General features: G+C 36.4%; 1 protein-coding gene and 1 long non-coding RNA gene across 15 annotated transcripts in view; one reads left to right on the top strand and one right to left on the bottom strand.

The window, feature by feature from the left end:
* Positions 1-20,814, bottom strand: part of RASAL2 (RAS protein activator like 2) — a 384,747-nt gene that overhangs the window by 134,793 nt on the left and 229,140 nt on the right. For 4 of the 13 annotated variants that reach the window (XM_005245622.5, NM_004841.5, NM_001438676.1 and 1 more), the window contains exon 1: positions 2,450-2,607. The exons of the other annotated variants lie outside the window; for them this stretch is intronic. In XM_005245622.5, the coding sequence (XP_005245679.1) occupies positions 2,450-2,462 (13 nt within the window). In that variant the 5' untranslated portion in view covers positions 2,463-2,607. Of the gene's footprint in view, positions 1-2,449; positions 2,608-20,814 lie in introns of those variants that run through there. 13 annotated transcript variants of the gene reach the window in all.
* LOC105371629 (uncharacterized) lies at positions 2,717-19,970 on the top strand. Of its 2 annotated transcripts, XR_922306.3 has the most exons (3): positions 2,717-5,329; positions 8,350-8,422; positions 19,649-19,970. It is a non-coding gene; the product is annotated as an uncharacterized LOC105371629 (long non-coding RNA). The 2 variants fall into 2 exon arrangements; XR_007066746.1 differs by lacking the exon at positions 8,350-8,422.

Genomic DNA, 20,814 nt, shown 5'->3' with positions numbered 1-20,814 from the left:
ATTATTTCACATACATATGAGAGTTTCTTTTTTATGCCACTCATTTCACTATACCCATTCTATTCCCATTTAAAATTTGTCTCCTTTTCAGGTGATGGGTATCCCAAGTATACTGATTTGATCTTTCCAAATTGTGTAAACATATTAAATTATCAAATGAATCCCACAACTATCTACATGTATTATACACCAATAAAAACTTGTTTAAAAATAAAATTTATCTTTAGCCACAAAGTGGGCACCTTTTTATTGTTTTTTTTTTCTAACACGGAAGGTATGAACCTGCATAATCTGACATTTGTTTTCAGAATTAAAAAAGAAGTGTGTTTCCTTTGAGTATTTTTCTCTTTGTAGTGCATGGTAGTGAGTTTTATCATGATTAGCTTGGTTAATAAAATAGTTTCTTTTAACTTAGGTCAGTAAAATACCAGCAATAGATTAATGACTTCTGATCATTTCTGGCATCAGAAAATATACTCAGGCCAAAGGCCCATTTTACTCTCTATTCTATCATATAATATACACACACAACATAATATACATAGATATATCATGGCAGTCCTTTCACATATTAAAAGCAGGATAAAAGCTCAGAGAAGAATCTAAGCTTTGTGTAATACAACATGAATACTGTTAAGTTGGATAGAGCATTAATGTCCTCATTCTCACAGCCATCAGTCCTCTTAAAAACAGTGCTTAAATAATGGATTCTCCAGTAAGACAGACAGTCTCTTCTTTCCTACTGGGTGGAGAATTCACTTGGTAATTTGGTTTCCGATATAGCCGAGAGGAGTAATGAAACTATTCCTTATAACTTGCTGCCCATTCCACACAGACTTGTAAGTCAGTACTACACTTACACAGACCCAGCCAAAAACTGGAAAGAGCAGGTCAGGCTTTAATACAAAAGGACAACATCCCTTTACTGTGCTTATAGCCAAATCAAGCTAACTTGTTCCCAGGAGTTGTAAAGAGCCATGACAGATTCTGTTGACAGTGGCTATCTTTACTATTTAGCTCACTAGAATAGTGTGGCCTCTCATCCCCACAATGGTCTCCAGAAAAATGGAAAGGGCAGCAACCTTTTTTAGGCACTAAATGAAAATGTATGAAGACAGATGTTCACTGTCTGTTGCGGCTCTCAAGATCCTTCACTTAAATTATCTGCTAACACATAATTCATGAGGTGAAGTAACAGACGATCCTTATAAGCAGGGAGAAACAGAAATGGACCTTGGATAAGGAAGCAACTGGTCAAAATAGCTGGATAATTTAAAATATTATCTTATATTTTTGAATAAACATAACAAAGGCAGTGAATACGATTTGCTTTCAGTAAAACAGATACATTACAAAAATAGATATTTGCATACAGAAAAAAGTTTACTAACATATTTATACAGAAAATTGATGTCCTAAAGTCTTTTAAAAAATTAAAAGCAGCGTACAAACTAATTTTCCTTCACTGAAAGCCATTTTTTCCTCTTGATAAATATTTTGTTACATGTTTTTGGTTTTGGTCAAGAGCATGTATCAATAGTGATTTGATGACATCCATTTCTCAATACCTCCTCTCCATAAGATTTCAATCTAGGTTTATGATGTACTTGGTCTATTTAGGCAATAATTCATTGTAATTGGGGCTAGCAGATGTAGTATAGAGAAAATATAAGCCTATATATAATTGGTTCTATGAAAAACACGTTAAACTGACAATAAGGAGATCTGGGTTTTCATTTCAATTCTGTTCCTAATTCTGACCTTGGGCAAGTACCTTAGACCACAAAATTTTCATTGAAAATGGAGAGAATAGACTATAGATAATCTCCAAGTCTCTTTCAGATTTAACTTTCAATAAGTCAATAAACTTTCTTACCTGTCATCTTGGCAGAGGATATTAAAAGCCTACCTTGGGCAAAAATAACAAGCAAAGTTCTCATTTGAATGCTCTTACTGCTGTCTATGGATCAAACCTGTTAAACTTTTGAATGACACAGATTATGTGTTACTGAGATTCAAGCAAGGCTGTTAATATCTTGTTGATGGTCAATATATTCTGTCTCACTCAGAGAGAAATGAGCTTTACCTGTTCCCAGGTATCTTTATATTTCATAAAGAATTTTAAGAAAGATCCAGAATAAGGACCCATTTCATATTATTAACAGAACAAGTACATGCTGCAGTGTTAATATTTTGCTATGGTCATTATTCTTTTAATTTATCTGAGTTTCTTAGATGGCTATTCTTGTGCTGGATTTTGTACTGGAATGCTAACAGACAGCTTCCACACAGTATTTCTGTGAACTCACAGCAATAAAAACCAACCTATTTTTTTAAAGCCAATAATCATAAAGGTAAATAGTCACTGCATTTGTGTAATTTTTAAAAAGCCACATTCCCCTTAAATACGTGACTTTTCATTTCGGTCTCAGACTCTACAAACTCTTACCTGGGGTCTGCATCGTGTGAAGTTTCTGGGTGTGCTAACATGATCTTTCCGGCACGCCAGTCAGAAACTCAAAACACTTTGTATACTGTACTCGCCTGTGCTCGCTTTCCTGCTCTCTCCCTTTTTGCTCTCATTTCGTGCCTCAGACAGTTTGGAATGCAGAAAAGCCAGAGCCAATGCCAGTTAAACTCAATCCTCGCCCCAACCCCGCCCCCAATCCCATTCTTTTGCTAGAGAGCACTAAACAATAGCCACCCTTCCTTACTCACTCACTGGGCTTTCTTTCACAGCACTGGGTGAAGGCAGTCTACTTCAGGAGAAGCAATGTGATTTACCAAGCTAAGTATTTCATTTTTTCTATCACAAAGGATGGGAGGGTGGATGTGTGAATCTGTGCACTTTAAGAAGTGATTTTTTCAAAAGCAGTCTAAAATAAAACTAAGTTCAGAGATTCTTATTTTGAATGTTTTATTATGTTGAATTTAAATATAAACTCTTCAGAGTATAAAAACCAGGTAAATCTTACAGCTGACGCAGAGATAGAAGCCTGTTAACACATATACATTACTATCTTAAACTACCTTCTTAAACCGATCAGTTTAACTTACCATAACGGAAATATCTAAAATTTAGAAAAGGAACAAAGTTTTTATTTCCCTAAAGCCCTTAATTCAGGTCTTAGGCTAGAACTTCATTTTTTAAAAGTTATTTTTAAAAAATATTTAATACTTTATTCATACAGAAATGCCCTGTATTGTATGGACTCTGTATTATATAGTCTGTAGCTGTGCTGAGGACAGTGTTGACTACTAAAGGCAAAGTCTTAAAATGAAAAGTTCATCTACTGTTAGGCAAGTCCCATTAAGTTAGGAAGTTATTAGACCCCTGGAAGCTGATGCCTGATTTCCTCCTCAAAATTTTTTTAACTTATTGACAGATAAAAATCTGCTCTGCTGTAATCAAGAGATTTCCTGTTGAGATTAAAACTGAGAACTTCATTTTTTAAATAAAGAATAATCAAAACAATTTTATAAACTGAGTGGCTTTCCAAAGCTAATTTTCTACTAGATGCAATGAAATTATAGATAGTATTACTGTTCTCAATCATCATTTTAGTTTGTTTTAAAATCAGTCATATTTCTAGGGTTTTTTTCTATATTCCCCCAATAAAAAGGCAAGTCAACTATGTAATCTTCATTATTAATATGATGACCTAACATATTATGCAGGTGCTCAGTTGCTGAGGTTAGCATGTCAGAATTGATCAATGAAAAAATTCATAGTTTGAATCACAGTGGACTCCACCTGCCACATTAAAGCAGTAGAACAGAAGAGACATGAAAATGACACAGTATTAATCTATCATCTACCTTTTAACAGCTGATGGAAACACATACACTGTATCTATCATCTATCTACCCATTTATATTTATGTATATATGTATTATATATCTTACACATTAGATATGTATTATACACATTAAAATGAGGAGCACATAGTCATCTAGTATAAAAATAGCTAAATCACTGTGATAAGTTCCAAGAAAGACAAGAACAGGGTGCCAGGTTTGTGTACAATATGAGCACCATGGTTTCATAAGTTGGTAGCTAAGTATTGAAACTGACTGATGATGTTATTTATGTTTGAATTATAAGGTCATGAAATCCCAGAACCGGAAGAGATCTTTAAAATCATCTAGTCCAACCAGTCATTCACTGCTTGAATTTTTCTTATTATTCACTTGACCATTGCTGATATTTGACTATTTTTTGACTTACAAACACAGCATTTTTATACAGTTCAACCTAATACAAACATTTATTAAGTTTGGTGCTGGGCCAGGACCACATAAGATGGATTAGTCAAGACAACCCTACCCAACTCTTTATACAGGGGAGAAATGTGAAACCAAATAATTATAACATAGTGACTATTTGTAGAAATAAAATGGCTAAAGTGGCCTCACCTATCCAAAATGAACAGGCTTGGTGCTGAGTTGAGTGGTCAAATTGTGTGATCTAATGCAACAGTTCAAAACTCCATCAAACTCTATGAGGCTATTCGTAACCAATGAGGGATTCACTACAGAGACATGAATTTCGGCCACTTTCTAGCTTGAGCTCATGGCTAAATAGTGAAGCATTTACTCGTGCTTCTCCAGCTTCTTGGAGAACTCACTCATGCTGCAGGAAAAGATTACAATTTTACCAGTCACTTCAGTCTCTATCCCAAAAGCTGTGTTTCCCATAGCACATGGCTATGGGTTCATAGACATTGAAGGTTAAGTAGAAATTACTCTTAGAAGCAACTTCTATTGACCACGATCCCACCTGTTAGAAATAGGTCCTAACTGTGTAAATGATGAAAGGACTATCTTTCCTTGGTATTTAATTCTATTGGCTTCAGTTAGTCACTTGAAACTGCACAAGATGGAGATGAATTCCTTAATGTTCTTATTTCAGCACATAACATACACAGTGCTAGGCTGGCATCAGAAAATAGATATGCTATGGCCCCTGTCCTCAAGTTATGCTAAAGTCCTCTTAAGTCTAAATACTTTAAAAAGGTTTGATGAGTGTAATATATTCATCCATCCATCCATCATTTATGAAGCACTGACTAACGTCAGGCATTTTCCTGAACTCTGGGATAAGTGGGAAATAAGACAAAGTCCCTGCTGCCACCCCACCCTTACCATGTATATATTTATTGGAACAATATACTGAATTTTCAAAAGGACATTCCACTTATGTGCTTTTTTCATTTGTTTCAGCAACCGGAGAAAACTGTATCACTCAGAATCTGAGTGGTGGCAGAGACTATAACTGCCTTGTTCGCTGCTATATCTGCAACGCTAAAAGTATACTGTCTGCCACATAGTAAGTGCTTACTAAGTATCTGTTGAATAAATAAATGGTTTGAAAACAGAGAAAAGTAAACTCCCGGAGGCTACATCTATGATAGTTTCAAAGTTCAATATCAACAAATATAGTGTTTCTAAAAGGCTGTGAGATTTTTTTTCTTAGTTATGAATCAACCAAATAGTATACTTGCTGAATTTTGAAGAATGTAGATAATGTATTTTCCCTCCATCCCATATAAAAGTAATATTATGGGATTCTGACTTTGGTTCAGGTATACAATTCAATATGCTAGCCATTAAGAAATTCTGAAACCAGGCCCGGCACGGTGGCTCACGCCTGTAATCCCAGCACTTTGGGAGGCTGAGGTTGGTGGATTGCTTGAGGTTAGGAGTTCGAGACTAGCCTGACCAACATGGTAAAACCCCATCTCTATTAAAAATACAAAAATTAGCCAGGCGTGGTGGCACATGCCTGTAATCCCATCTACTTGGGAGGCTGAGGCAAGAGAATCGCTTGAACCCAGGAGGCAAATGTTGCAGTGAGCCGAGATCATGCCACTGCACTCCAGCCTGGGTAACACAGCAAGACTCTGTCTCAAAAATAAATAAATAAATAAATAATAAAAAAAAATTCTGAAACCATAAATGCATGATCTTTTTGAAAATCAGTGAGCACAAAAATAATAAGCTAGCTGTATATAATTAAAAATCACAGCTGGGCACAGTGGCTCACGCCTGTAATCCCAGTACTTTGGGAGGCCGAGGTGGGTGGATCACCTGAGGTGAGGAGTTCAAGAACAGCCTGGCCAACATGGTGAAACCCTGTCTCTACTGAAAATACAAAAATTAGCCAGGCGTGGTGGCAGGCGCCTATAATCTCGGCTACTCGGGAGGTTGAGGCAGGAGAATCGCTTGAACCCGGGAGAAGGAGATTGCAGTGAGCTGAGATTGCGCCACTGCACTCCAGCCTGGGCAATAAGAGCAAAACTCCGTCTCAAAAAAAAAAAATTACTTGCATATCAATTTTATTGCTTATCAAATAAATTAATGAACAACAAGCCACCCTCTGGATACCTATGTTCTCCTCTTCCAAGCAGAAAACACATCTCAAAGCAAACCAACTGAGGTTATACCAGGCTGTAAGTGTGCTGGCTCTTGAGCTTACATGTGCTTCCTCTTTTGAACAGCAGATGATCATATACTCAGCTTCTTCTAACCATAAACACAGTGTCTTTTCATGTTTACCCATAAAAAAGATTGGCATTCTGATATGTGGGTCTTCCCACTGCATTCTTTTGAGAGTTCATATTTAAAAAGAAAACCATTGTTTATCATTTGAATGACAAACACCAAAGTCACCCACTTATTCAGAAATACCATTAAAACTTTATTTAATTTCATTTTTGTATGATGGGATGCCAGCACAATACACAGATACACATACATACATACTTCTGCTCTCTGATAAAGGGAGGCATTATGAAGATCAGAAGACTTGTTAATTCATATGGTTAGCAAAGTACTTACAAGTGTTTAGAAAGGGCCATGTCAAACAAGTAACAATTATGATAGTCACAAAATATTTTTAGAACTTCTGGCTAAGCATTAGAGCTTTACCTTGCTCTTCCCACTAAGATGACTTAGTAGACTGCATTTTTTTTTTCTGGAATGGCAATTGGCTAGGAGGAAGTATTATAGGGAGTAGGCAAAATCAAATATCAGTCCCCTGATATTGAGTTGAGAAACTAAGGCTTTCATGTGAACAAGACCACAGTTCAAAAAAATAATAATAATAAGCAAAATCTAAATGGGAAAATACAAGGAAATCTTTCCTACTTTTATTTCATCATATGAGTAAGATTATACTAAAAGAACAAAACCAACACTTTTATTTCTACAAAAAAATTCATGAATAAACAATGAAAAGCAACTAAAAGTATTTTCGGATAGTGTTGGATATTACTGGGTACTATCTCTGAATATGCTCAGAGAGCCAAGGACGTGCCTGTAATATTGGACCTCCTCATTTAAAAAGGGAGTTTAAACAAATTCATTTTCTTTAGTGGATTTAAAAATATATTTATATATTTATTTAGTTATACATACATACATATATTTTTATATATACACATACATAATTATACATATACATACACACACATAATTATGTTAGGCTTACAGATTTCCTATTAAGCTAATGTGCTGTCACAACTAAAGCATTAGTCCATTTTTCTCATATAATGCAGATAACACTCAGTTTCAGTAGAAATAACGATCATTAGGCATTTGGTTTTGCCTTCGTTTTAAAGAATATTTGCAACTATGGGCTACTGTTTCTATAAAATCTATTTAGAAAAAGCATAGATCTTATGGTACAATCAGTCTTTGGCTTACCACTGATACAAAGACATACATATGTATTATATAATTCAAAATACTACTGCAGGCAGTTAACTTCATCCAATTTCCAATTTCCATTATTTCCTTACAACTAACTGAAGCACACCAAAATCCAGTAGAACTCTAAAGACTGTTATCAAGCATTAAAAAAAAAAAGGAAGAAAAAGGAAAATTACAACAGCGATTTCCTAGGAAAACAGACTTCTAAAATATAAAAACCTACGAAGTAAATTATACTATTTTGCCCATTTTACAGATGAGGAAATGGAGACACAAGTTAAGTGAGTAACTTGCCCAAGGTCACAAAGTGGTAGAGCCAGAATTCATGCTTTAGCTGGCTCTTGGAGTGCTTTCCCTTAACCACTATGGTATACTAAACTACTCCAAATTTATCTTTAATTGGCATTTTGGGTTTTTTTTTTTCCTCTTCATAGCTTTCTATACTTTCCAAATTTTCTATAATAGTATTAATTTTATAAAGGAGCTTGCATATTGTTCCAAATTAGGTTTATCAGAAGCTATTGCTCTTTTCCTCAGTGTGTATTAATCCAGATGCAACAATGTATATATTTATTGGAACGATGTACTGAATTTTCAAAAGGACATTCCACTTATGTGCTTTTTCATTTGTTTCAGCAACTGGAGAGCCTGTATCACTCAGAATCTGAGAGGCAGCTCCTGACTTGAAAATGATCATTGTGTGTAATGTGTGAGCAGTTTCCAAACATCTGTGTCCGAGAATACGGAGGGGCCAGGGAGAGGAAGATCAGTGTGTGTGTCTGAGAGTGTGTGTGTGTTTTAAGGGAGAAGGGAATAGATTGAGTAAGGAAAGGAGAGGAACATATTCTCAGTATCAGCAGTCTGGCCCCAAATTTTGTGTTGTTTGGAAGAAATCAAATTCAAGAGAAAATGAGGGGCCCCTTTCCTCAGTTCAGCGGCTACTTATTTTCCTCCTCTATTTTTAAACATATTTAATATTAAATAGGCCAATGAATTTAATCAGACCCTATATTTTATATAAAGGAAGAAAGAGAAGAAAAACCAGTATTACAAATATATAGTCTTTGGTTTGTAGATATGCTATATTTTTTTTCTGTAGAATATTATCCTTTATCCAAACCTTTGAAAATTATGGTCCTGATTATTTTTTAAAAGAAAATAAATTCCCCAAAGGAAAATTTAAGTTCTTAAGGAAAAAAAAATTGATCTGTGGTACTTCTACTTATTACTTCTGATCCATTAGGATAGTGATAGTGACAAAAACAAAACTCTTTTATTCAATTATTTTTCAGGCTCCAAAAGGACAATCTTGTTATATTTTATGATACTGGTTATATTACATTTTTATTTCAAATATTATATTTTAAAATACATTTTTTTTTTAAATTTTAGACAGAGTCTCACTCTGTCACCACACTGTAGTGCAGTGGCGCAATCTCAGCTCACTGCAACTCTCCCTCCCGGGTTCAAGCGATTCTCCTGCCTCAGCCTCCCTAGTAGCTGGGACTACAGGTGCACAGCACCACATCCAGCTAATTTTTGTATTTTCAGTAAAGAAGGGATTTCACCATGTTGGCCAGGATGGTCTTCATCTCTTGACCTCATGGGTCCATCCCCCATCCGGCCTGCCTATTTTTTTAGAAAGATTATTTTTTAAAGTTCCTATGTAATGACATGCATTTTTTTATCTTTTAAAAGTTGTGGCCGGGTGCAGTGGCTCATGCCTGTAATCCCAGCACTCTGGGAGGCTGAGGCAGGCAGATCACCTGAGGTCAGGAGTTCGAGACCAGCCTGGCCAACATGGTGAACCCCTGATTCTATCTATTAAAAATACAAAAATTAGCAAGGCGTGGTGGCGCATGCCTGTAATCCCAGCTACTTGGGAGGCTGAGGCAGGAGAATGGCTTGAACCCAGGAGGTGGAGGTTGCAGTGACCCGAGATAGTGCCACTGCACTCCGGCCTGGGTGACAAGAGCAAAACTCCATCTCAAAAAAAAAAAAGAAAAAAAAGTTGCAATAAATGAATGATTTTTTACCAAGTATAAAACATTGTGGACATGAGAAACAAACCAATAAATAATCATTTTTAGTTTTTGAAAATCTCATTAAATAAGAAAAATAACTTTCAAGAGGTTAAAAATTCCCTCTAAATTTCTGCACATGCAGTAAAAAATTATTACTAGTATTAAAAAAATTCAACACGATAAGAAATGAATTAGGTATTATACCCAGAAAAGGCAAAAGCAATGTTATAAAAAGCATGGAATTACGCAAGGCCTATAATCAATTCATGATCAATTCCAAAACAATGATCCCACAAAGAAAACACAATGTAGTTCAAAAACACAAATACTACATTCAAAGACTGATTTACTGTTGCTTTAAAAACAAGCCAAGTTTTTCTGTCTACCACAAGGGTTAACATATTTTCTCTTGGCAATAAAACATGATATCTAAATTTATTACTGCTGAAACTACAGACAAAATAAATTACTACTAATGAAAAACTGAAAAATCCTCTAGGAGAAGTTTGTTTCAGTGAGTAGAGAAGTAATTCTAAGAAAAGATAATTTGTTTTTTAGTATAGTCAAGAATTATGATTATTTACTATTATGATTATACACTATTTTGTAACTTATCTTCAACAGTAGTTACTATCAACAGGTAAATGTGCCCCATGGGTAAAGTAAACTCAGCATATGGCTTGGGTTTTTGAACTCATTTAAAACTAAATAATGTATCTAACATGCTGGTCTTAACCCATTTATGCCAGAGGTTGCAATTTTTTTGTTTTGCAAAAAAATCAGACTTTGGTGATGACCTTGAGCAATAGGATATAAATAACTCCCAAAAGTTTAGTGTTCCAATAATGGAACACTAGGCATAAATGGGTTAAAATGTCATATTGACAAAAAACAAAAATAGGTGAAAAATAGCTTCACCTCAGTAAAGTCTAATATTTGAGGGATATTTTATGGATGACAAAATTCAGAGAATAAAAGAGATATTAATAAATCTGGCCGGGCGCGGTGGCTTACGCCTGTAATCCCAGCACTTTGGGAGGCCGAGACGGGCGGGTCACAAGGTCAGGAGATCGAGACCATCCTGGCTAACACGTGAAACCCCATCTCTACTAAAAATACAAAAAATTAGCCGGGAGCGGTGGCGGGCGCCTGTAGTCCCAGCTACTCGGGAGGCTGAGGCAGGAGAATGGCGTGAACCCGGGAGGCGGAGCTTGCAGTGAGCCCAGATCGTGCCACTGCACTCCAGCCTGGGCGATAGAGCGAGACTCCGTCTCAAAAAAAAATTAATAAATAAATAAATCTGATAAGGAAATATTCATTAGTGACTAAAGGCAGATTCAAACAGCCACTATTACATTTCTCAAGGCCACACAGAGAAATTAGACAGGAATATCTTTGTATAAGAATTGGAGACAATTTGGCCAGGCGCAGTGGCTCACGCCTGTAATCCCAGCACTTTGGGAGGCTGAGGCAGGCAGATCACGAGGTCAGGAGATCGAGACCACGGTGAAACCCCGTCTCTACTAAAAATACAAAAAAGAATTAGCTGGGCGTGGTGGCGGGCACCTGTAGTCCCAGCTATTTGGGAGGCTGAGGCAGGAGAATGGCGTGAACCCGGGAGGTGGAGCTTGCAGTGAGCCAAGATCGCGCCACCGCACTCCAGCCTGGGCGGCAGAGTGAGACTCCGTCTCAAAAAAAAAAAAAAAAGAATTGGAGACAATTTTTTCTCCCTCATACAAGGAAATAAAGAATGGTTTCCATCTGACTGGCAAAGTGTCAGGCCACAACATTGATTTTGAGAATACAGGTTTTTTGTTTTGTTTTGTTGTTCTTTATTGCCTAGGCTGGAGTGCAGTGGTGCAATCTCGGCTCACTGCAACTTCTGCCTCCCGGGTTCAAGCGATTGTCCTGCCTCAGCCTCCTGAGTAGCTGGGATACAAGTGCCTGCCACCACCCCTGGCTAATTTTTTTGTGTGATTTTAGTAGAGACGAGGTTTTACCATGTTGGCCAGGCTGGTCTTGAACTCCTGACCCTCAGGTGATCTGCCCGCCTCGGCCTCCCAAAGTGCTAGGATTACAGGCGTGAGTCACTGTGCCCGGCCGAGAACATAGGTTTTTCTGTAGAGAAAATCTAGGCTTGAATTAGAAAAATTCTATTACTAGTGGGCTATGCTTTATCCTATACCATCATTTATTGCATAATTAAAATCATAATCCAAAAAACATTTAAAATTTACTAAAATTTTTATGACACGTTTTAAATTTTACATATCTATACATGTAAACTGAAATTAATGAGAATATAATCAATTGAATAATGCTGAAAGTATATTGTACACTCTTTTTGACATTTAACTGAACTCAATATTTATTGAATGCTATTAAATGCCAAAAATGTTCTTTGTATTGAAATTCTTTAAATGATGCATGAAGTGGCTGGGCATGGTGGCTCATGCCTGTAATCCCAGCACTTTGGGAGGCCGAGGCAGGCGGATCATGAGGTCAGGAGTTTGAGACCAGGCTGGCCAACATAGTGAAACCCCGTCTTTACTAAAAGTACAAAAAAATTAGCCAGGCGTGGTGGTGGGCGCCCATAATCCTAGCTATTCGGGAGGCTGAGGCAAGAGAATCACTTGAACCCAGGAGGCGGAGGTTGCAGTGAGCCGAGATCACGCCACTGCATGCCAGCCTGGATGACAGTGCGAGAATCTGTCTCAAAAAAAAAAAAAAAAAAAAAGATGCATGAAGTTACATCTCTAAGAAACATGATTATTTCACTCATCACAGTTTGTCCTATGATTGCTAATAGCAACAAAAACCCCATATAGTCTCTTTTTATGTTTTTAAATAGATTACTACACATTTTTCCTCCACTAAATAACAGTAAAATAGACAACTTGACAAATAAATTTATTTTTATAAGGGCATAGGGATTCAACCACTGACAATGTCATAGGACACGGGAGTATAGAACGCTGCCTCTTAGTCACGTGTGGTGCTGCGCACCTGTGCTCCCAGCTACTCAGGAGGCTGAGGCGGGTGGATTTGCTTGAGCCTAGGAGGTTGAGGCTGCAGTTTGCAGCACTGTATCTTGGCCTGGGTGACAGAGCAAAACCCCGTCTTAAAAAACAAAAATAAAAAATAAAACAGAACTCTGCCTCTTTTGCTCACCACTTCTAAGGTACTACATTAGCAGACAGAAGAGCACAGTGGTTAAGAGGACTGACTTTAGGGCCAAATTCCAGCTATGCCATTTACTACTTATGGTGTCTTGGACAAGCACTGTCTCAGTTTCATTAATTGCTGGCAAACAAACAAAGAGGCATAATAACAGTACCCACCTTATAGGGTTATGTGAATAAATATTTGCAAAGTGCTTAGAACAGTACTTGGCACAAACCACTACATAATATTTTGTTAAGTAAGATAAAATAAAAACAGTATTCCGGGGGAGAGGCACTGTTATTAAATGCCAAACATATTTATTGTATAGAAATTCCATAAATGAAGATGAAAGGTGAAAAAAAGGAAAATGAGAGCGATTTTTATCATTCACCCCCCATTTGACATAGTATTTTTTTCCCTCAAAAACCTTACCTCTTTATACACTGCTCCACTCACTAGGACCCACAAGCTATTATTGATCAGACTCTCTGAAATCTTTTTCTTTTCCTTCCATTTACAGAAATGTTTAATTCTTTTACCAGAGAACATTTTTAATCTGTTATTTCATGACCCAGACTACAGCCCACTGCAACTACAATTATGTGAAAAAGTCTATAACTTTGTCAAAAAGAACTCCACTTTACCAAGAGTACTGTTCACTGTTCAGTCTTTTGTTCCATCCACAGAGAATATGTATTAGAAATAAGACACTACATACTCTATGTTGTAATCATAGACACCTTGGTAAAAAAATGCAGACATCATAAATCACCCAAGGAGAGATATAAATAGAATACTTTAGTGAAATAATTTCTCAGGTATGCAGGACAGTAGCTTGCAGAATCTTAGATATATATTACAAGCAGAACCATTAAGACAAAATAATACATTACTTATGTTACTCATATTATGATCTAGCATTAGCCCAATCTTCCAAATTTATCGAATCAAACAATTTTGAGAAAAGATTTGTGCAGGTCTTACTAGTCATCTGATAACACTGCTGTAACACAGTGGAACTGTAATAAACTAGTGCCTTAACTTGAGCATTCAATAATATTTATCCTTCCCCCTACCCCTACTAATGGCTCTGATTAAAGCAACTTAGTCAACAATATAATTAACCAAAATTTACTGAATGTATACTTATTATTAACTTATAATACTAATATATACCAGAGCCTTCCATCCTTTTACCCCAGTTTGGACTGGATGCTCACTCAGTCAGCTACATAGCTGCCATCCAGAGACTTCCTTTCACCAAGATTCTGGGGATAACCTTTGTCTTTCTCTTGTCCTTTTTTTTTTAAGAGACAGGATCTCGCTCTGTCACCCAGGCTGGAGCACAGTGGTGTGATCATAGTTCACTGCAACCCCCAATTCCTGGGCTTAAGCGATCCTCCTGAATAGCTGGAACTTCAGTCTGGGTCCTTAATTTACCCCTTCTTATACTTGACAGATACATTAGCTTGGAATATAATTTCAGTTTAGACATCATGTTCACTTGGAATGATATTTAGACATCACGTTCACTTGGAATTTTAAGGGCACTGCTCCAGCGTCTCAGCCTCTAATATTACTATCAAGAAGTCAGATGCTGCTCTCATTCAAATCCTTTAGAGAGTATTTTTTGTTTCTGCTTTAAATCCCTGAAAACTTTTAGAAGGGTCTCTCCCATTGTGGATGTTCTGAAATTTCCTGAAGATGTGCCTTCAAGGGGGTTGTATTTATTTACAATGCTGAGCACTTCACAGGCCTATTAAATTGGAAATTCACAGGCCTATTAAACTGGAAATTCAAGGAACTCAAATGTCAGTTCTGGGACATTTTCTTTCAGATCTTCACCAAATGTTCCTTAATCAGTGAGGTCTTCTCTGATGATCTCATATAAAAGTAACATTCCTTTGCTTCCTTCTCCACCCACAGCACTCCCTACATCTTTTACCTTACCTTTTTTCTCCATTGCATTTATCACCATGCGGTATATTGTAAAGGTGTTTGCTTTGCCAGTCTAGTCCCACCAGAATGTAAGTTCCCTGAAGGCAGAGGCTTTTAACTGTACTGCCGGCTATTTTTGAATGCTTTGTTCAACAGGCCAGAACAGTGTGTGGCACATAATAGGAATTAAAAAATATATATTTGAGGAATGAAAGGCTGTACTCCCTAGGTTAGGCAATTTGCTAAGTCAATCACTCTGCGGGGCTCTGAATCAGGGAACAAATATAGCTGGGGAGAGGAAGAGAAGAGAGACAAGGTCTCACAGCTGCCTGTTAGTATTTATAAGTCACTCATAACCCGAAATACCCTACTGGTAATTGTGATTTGTATAAAGCAGTAGGAAAATACCATGGTAAGGTGGATTTAAAGTCATACAGACCTGGGTTTGAATTCTGGTTCTGCCACTTATTTGGCATCAGTACTCTTCTCTATAAAATAAGGGTACTAATAATACTTGTTTCACAGGACTACTGCCAGGAATAAATGAGATAATATATATCCAGAACTTAACATTGTCACTGTTTTGTCATCATTATGTCTACCTAGTTACATCACTTATTGTTTCTTTACATTTATAACTATTCTTTATTTTTATTCTAAAAACATAAAGAGATGAATTTGAGATGGCAATTGGTGATACTAAGAAATAAGAATTACAGAATAAGTAAGATCTAATATTTGATAGCACAACAAAGTAACTACAGTCAGCAACAATTTGTTGTACCTTTTAGAATAACGATTGGAATATTCATAATACAAAGAAATGATTAATGCTTGAGGTGATAGATACCACTTACCCTGATGTGATTATTACACATTATATGCCTGTATCAAAATATCTCATGTACCCCATAAATATATACACCTACTATGTACCCATACAAATTAAAAATAAAAAAAATTTAAAAAGAAATAGGAATAAGAGACTCACAATTAAAAAGAGCAGATTCATGGTACTGTACACCAAAAACGTGATAGGAGATGAGATAGTCTGTATAGCAGAAAAAATAACCAGATGTATCATTTCCCTAGTGCTACCATAAGAAATTACCACAAACAGAGTAACTTAAAAAACAAAGGAAATTTATGCTCTCATAATTTTCTGGAAGTCAGAAGTCCAAAATCAAGGCATAGGCAGAGCCACCCTTCCTTGGAAGTCTGCAGGGGAGAAGACCTGCTTGCCTCTTCCTATTTCTGGTGGCTCCTGGCATTCCCTGGCTTGTGTCTGCTTTACTCCAATCATTGTCTCTGTCTTCACAAGGCCTTCTCCTCCATGTCTATGTCTTCCCTTTTTCTGTCTCTTATGAGGAAATTTGTCATTGGATTAGGACCCACCTAGATATCCAGGATGTTCTTATCTTGAGATTTTTAATTATACCTACAAAGACCTTTTCTCTAAATAAGGTCATTCTTGGGACTGGCCATTTCTATACTGTTTTTCTAGGTACAAGAACTAACAAGGTTGTCTTTCTGCCAATTATGCTTTCTGATTCAACAATGAACTGTGGCTGGGCACAGTGGCTCATGTCTGTAATCCCAGAACTTTGGAAGGCTGATGCAGGTAGATTGCTTGAGCCCAGGAATTTGAGACTAGCCTGGGTAATGTGGAGAAATACTGTCTCTATTAAAAAAACACAAAAAATTATTAGCTAGGTGTGATGGTATGTGCCTGTAGTCCCAGCTACTCAGGAGGCTGAAGTGGGAGGATTGCTTGAACTCAAGAGGTTGAGGCTGCAGTGAGCCAAGATCATGCCACTGCACTCCAGCCTGGGTGACAGAGTAAGACCCTTTCTCGAAATATAAATAAATAAAATAAAAATAAAATAAACTGTATTTTATTAATTATATTCTCCCTGGTAAATTAATAATTTTCTGTTATCTAAGATTCTAATTTAAAAATACTTTATAGCCTGAAGAATGTTACTTATAATCTAAATGAATATTAGGAAATACTATAGTTTTAAAAAGCTACTTAAGAGGACCTCCATGGGAGCAACTAAATTTGTATATACACACATACTGAAATGTTTTAAGAGTTTGATGATTTTAAATTTCATTCAAAATAGAAAAGAAATGCTAAGTTAGAATGAGATTGTTCTATTTACCTGGACAATATTACTATATGAAACTTGTCCTTTATTAAGAGCCTTTCAATATTTATATTGTAGCATGGTTTAAACCATAGGGATAATGCTATTTTTGATTGTCTCCAGAAAGAACGAATCATCACTTAAAACGTGATAAAAAGTCGGTAAGAGAAGATAACATAGGTAAAATGGGAGAAAAAGGGGGTTATAGAAAGGAAAACAAAATTGGCCAGGAGTGGTGGCTCACCCCTGTAATCCCAGCACTTTGGGAGGCCGAGGCGGGCAGATCACCTGAGGTCGGGAGTTCGAGACCAGCCTGACCAACATGGAGAAACCCCATCTCTACTAAAAATACAAAATTAGCCGGGCATGGTGGCACATGCCTGTAATCCCAGCTACTTGGGAGGCTGAGGCAGGAGAATTGCCTGAACTTTGGAGGCGGAGGTTGTGGTGAGCCGAGATTGTGCCATTGCACTCCAGCCTGGGCAACAAGAGTGAAACTCCATCTCAAAAATAAATAAAATAAAATAAAAAATTAATTAGATATTTTCTGAGACATAAACTTTTAGTACAATAATCAATTCTGAAATAGCAGAGCATTATTATAAATAAAATGTAAATAGTATACAATAAATTTTGAAAGACACATACATACTAAAAGGTGACTTCTTAGAGTCTAAAAACATTTCTTTTGAAAATCCACTTATTATTCTCACTTATGAGGGATAATTATGAGGGAGGTAGATTTCTGCTAATGAAATTTTGAACCTATTCTCTTATTCCCTGATGGGAACTGATACCATATACCTTTGATATATGATTCATTCTTTCTAATGTGGAAAACATATAATCCAGCCTTTTACATGGGTACATGAGATTCTGCAAAATTAATTTTTCTTGGGAAAGTTAAAAAAAATTCTTATTTATTTATTAATTCATTTCTTTATTTTTAGAGGCAGGGTCTTGCTCGCTCTGTCACCCAGGCTGGAGTGCAGTAGCATAATCGTAGCTAGTGTAGACTATATAGTCATAGCTATATGTAGAATCAAACTCCTGGGCTCAAGTGATCCTCCCACCTCTGCCTCCCAAGTAGCTGGGACTACAGGCACACACCAACATGCCTGGCTAGTTTTTTTATTTTTTGTAAAGATGGGGTCTCATTATGTTGCCCAGGCTGGTCTCAAACACCTGACCTCAAGCAATCTTTCTGTTAAAGTGCTAGGATTACAGTCATGAGCCATGGTACCCAGCTAATTTTAACTTATCAACTGCAGTAACACATTTAGTTATAAAAGCTCATCTTTTACTGTAACTCTATACTGTATCAGTGATGCCAAGCCTTATTAGAAGAGGCCAAATTTTCTCTTTTCTCATATTCTGCATACAGTTTCTTTCAGGGAGCCTATCTACCACTATGAAACTTTCTAGCTTTTAGTGGCTACTCCAAGGCTATTTCTATCCAACTGTTATATGCACTGCTAATGATATTCTGCTTTTAAATGTATTTTTTTCTCTTCTTATTTTAAGTCACACCCAATGTATTATCTCATTAGCTCTATCCCTAGCTCATCTAGTTCCTAATACATATATCTGAATGAATACTTCTCTACAATTCCTACCTTTAAAAATTAATTACAAAAGATTTGTTTAAATAAGTTTTTGACTCTTCGGTGGCACTACTCTGATTAAAGTGGGAGGGAAAAAACCTAAAGGCCTTTAAGAGGAAAAAATGAACTGATAATTATCTTTCCTCTATTACTAGTTCTCTTTCTAATTCACTCGCTTTTACTTCCTTCTCATCCTGTGAATTCATGTTCTAGACACTATTTTCTACCTTGAATTTTTCCTATGTTATTCTCTACTCTTCAGAGTTAGAAAGAACACGTCAAACACAGACAAAATAGGAATGTTGTAAGGAGAATTTTTTTAAAAAATGAAATGAATGGAAGCTTCCTGTTGTGCTATATTAAATATCAATCAAAATGAGGAAACATGTTAACATGCAAATATCTGAAGACAACAGGAAAAGAAAATAGGCTTTAAATTTTACAGAAATAAAAGTAACCAGAACAATCCAATGAACACAACAGCTTTATGAGAAACTAGGGAGCTTTCTTGGTTAAGCATTGTTACTAGAGAGACCAGTTGGCAGGTGGGTGCCAAGGGGGTCATAACAAGCCAAAAACTTCATTCCTTGAGGCAGTTAGAGTCTGTTTCGCACATAAAATTAAACTAGATTTTCCACCAATCTGATTTATAAATCCTTCTGCTTGAAATGTAAACTTAAAAGGCTTTGGTAAACAGCATAGCCAATCTTGGGCTACCTAAAAAGAGAGCCATATGCACATGTACAATTAAACGATATTTAGCTAATTTTGCTCAATTTATCTGAATTACTTATTTTTCCTTTCAGAAAAGGTTCTGGGCAGTCAAGGGCCTAGGTCAAGTCTCCAAATATATTTCAAGATGCATTGTAAACAAGCCCACTCCCATCTTTCTACCTTCATTACATAACAGACTGGTGAATTATGACTATACTTTAGAAGAAAGGAAGTGCAAGTGAAAATGGAAAAAAACAAATGGGCAAAGTCACAAGATACAGAGATAGAATGCTTTAAGATGTCACACCTCAAATTTCTTTTCTTTTTTTTTTTTTCCTAGAGATCGAGTCTTGCTCTGTCACCCAGGCTGGAGTGCAGTGGTGTGATCTGCAGCCTCAAAATCCTGGACCAAAGCAATCCTCCCACCTTAGCCTCCCAAGTAGTTGGGATTACAGAAGTGAGCTACTATGACCAGCTTCAAATTTCTTTAATAGCTTAAACCTGTCCAAGCAAGATGAGAAACATAACACCTAGTCTATTATCTCACTGGTTCCATGATTTTATGAGTCAGAGCGAACTGAAGTTTGGCTCAAATCAAAGTTTATGTTATTGCTCCTGCATTCTTCTTTTGAATCATAATAAAAATCTCATCCAACAAGGAAGCTGAGGTTCAGAGTTAATGATGAGAGCATATGGAATTTGAATCCAGGTTAAGACAACTTCAAAGCTGGTGCCATTTTCCACTACCCAGCACAGTCACTGGTAAAGGTATCCTTCCAGACAGAATGTGTTCTAGTTACGGGTATGCATTTTCTTTCCTGAAAAAGTAAACCCTCTATCTGTGAAATAACTGCTAAATCTTCTTGTGTGGTTTTTATATACTAATTAATCTCTTAACAACCTAATACATGTTTTTGTTATAAATAACCTAATATTCATTTTGTGAAATGCAGCAAAAAGGATAAAATGGTCATTTCCTTTCATTAAGATACTTCATTTTCTCTTATCATTCTCTATAAATATAAGAAATTAATAAAAGTGATTTACTATTAATAAAATCTTAAAAATAAACACAAATATCTTGCTCACTAACACAACTATGGTTATGATATTAACCAACAGCACGGAGTTCAGACCTGACATTCACAACCAAGTACACTTGATACTGTGACTTGTTAACTTGGACAATGGCATTTACCAACTTTGTATTTATCAAAACCAATAGTTGTGATTATACTGCTTATAGTCCTGTGGCTGTGCAATGATATTTAGTAATTCTCTAATTTCATTACTAAACGATTTTCTCTCAAGTGGGTATGGTTTTCCCTTCAGGATAAAAAAAAATTACCCACATCTAAGATTATTTTTCACTTTGACATGCTCCACCTGAAAGTCAAGAAAGAGTTTCTCTAGTATGTCTCATATCAGTCATTTGCTCAACAATCAGTCACTCACTCAGCCTGCAGTTATGTACAAAACAACCTGCTATGGTGATACCAAGGTGAG

This window comes from Homo sapiens, chromosome 1 (genome assembly GCF_000001405.40).
Source record: "Homo sapiens chromosome 1, GRCh38.p14 Primary Assembly".
Taxonomy (NCBI): Eukaryota; Metazoa; Chordata; class Mammalia; order Primates; family Hominidae; genus Homo; species Homo sapiens.
The sequence above is the reverse complement of the archived record's forward strand: the minus strand, read 5'-3'. Positions and strand labels throughout refer to the sequence as shown.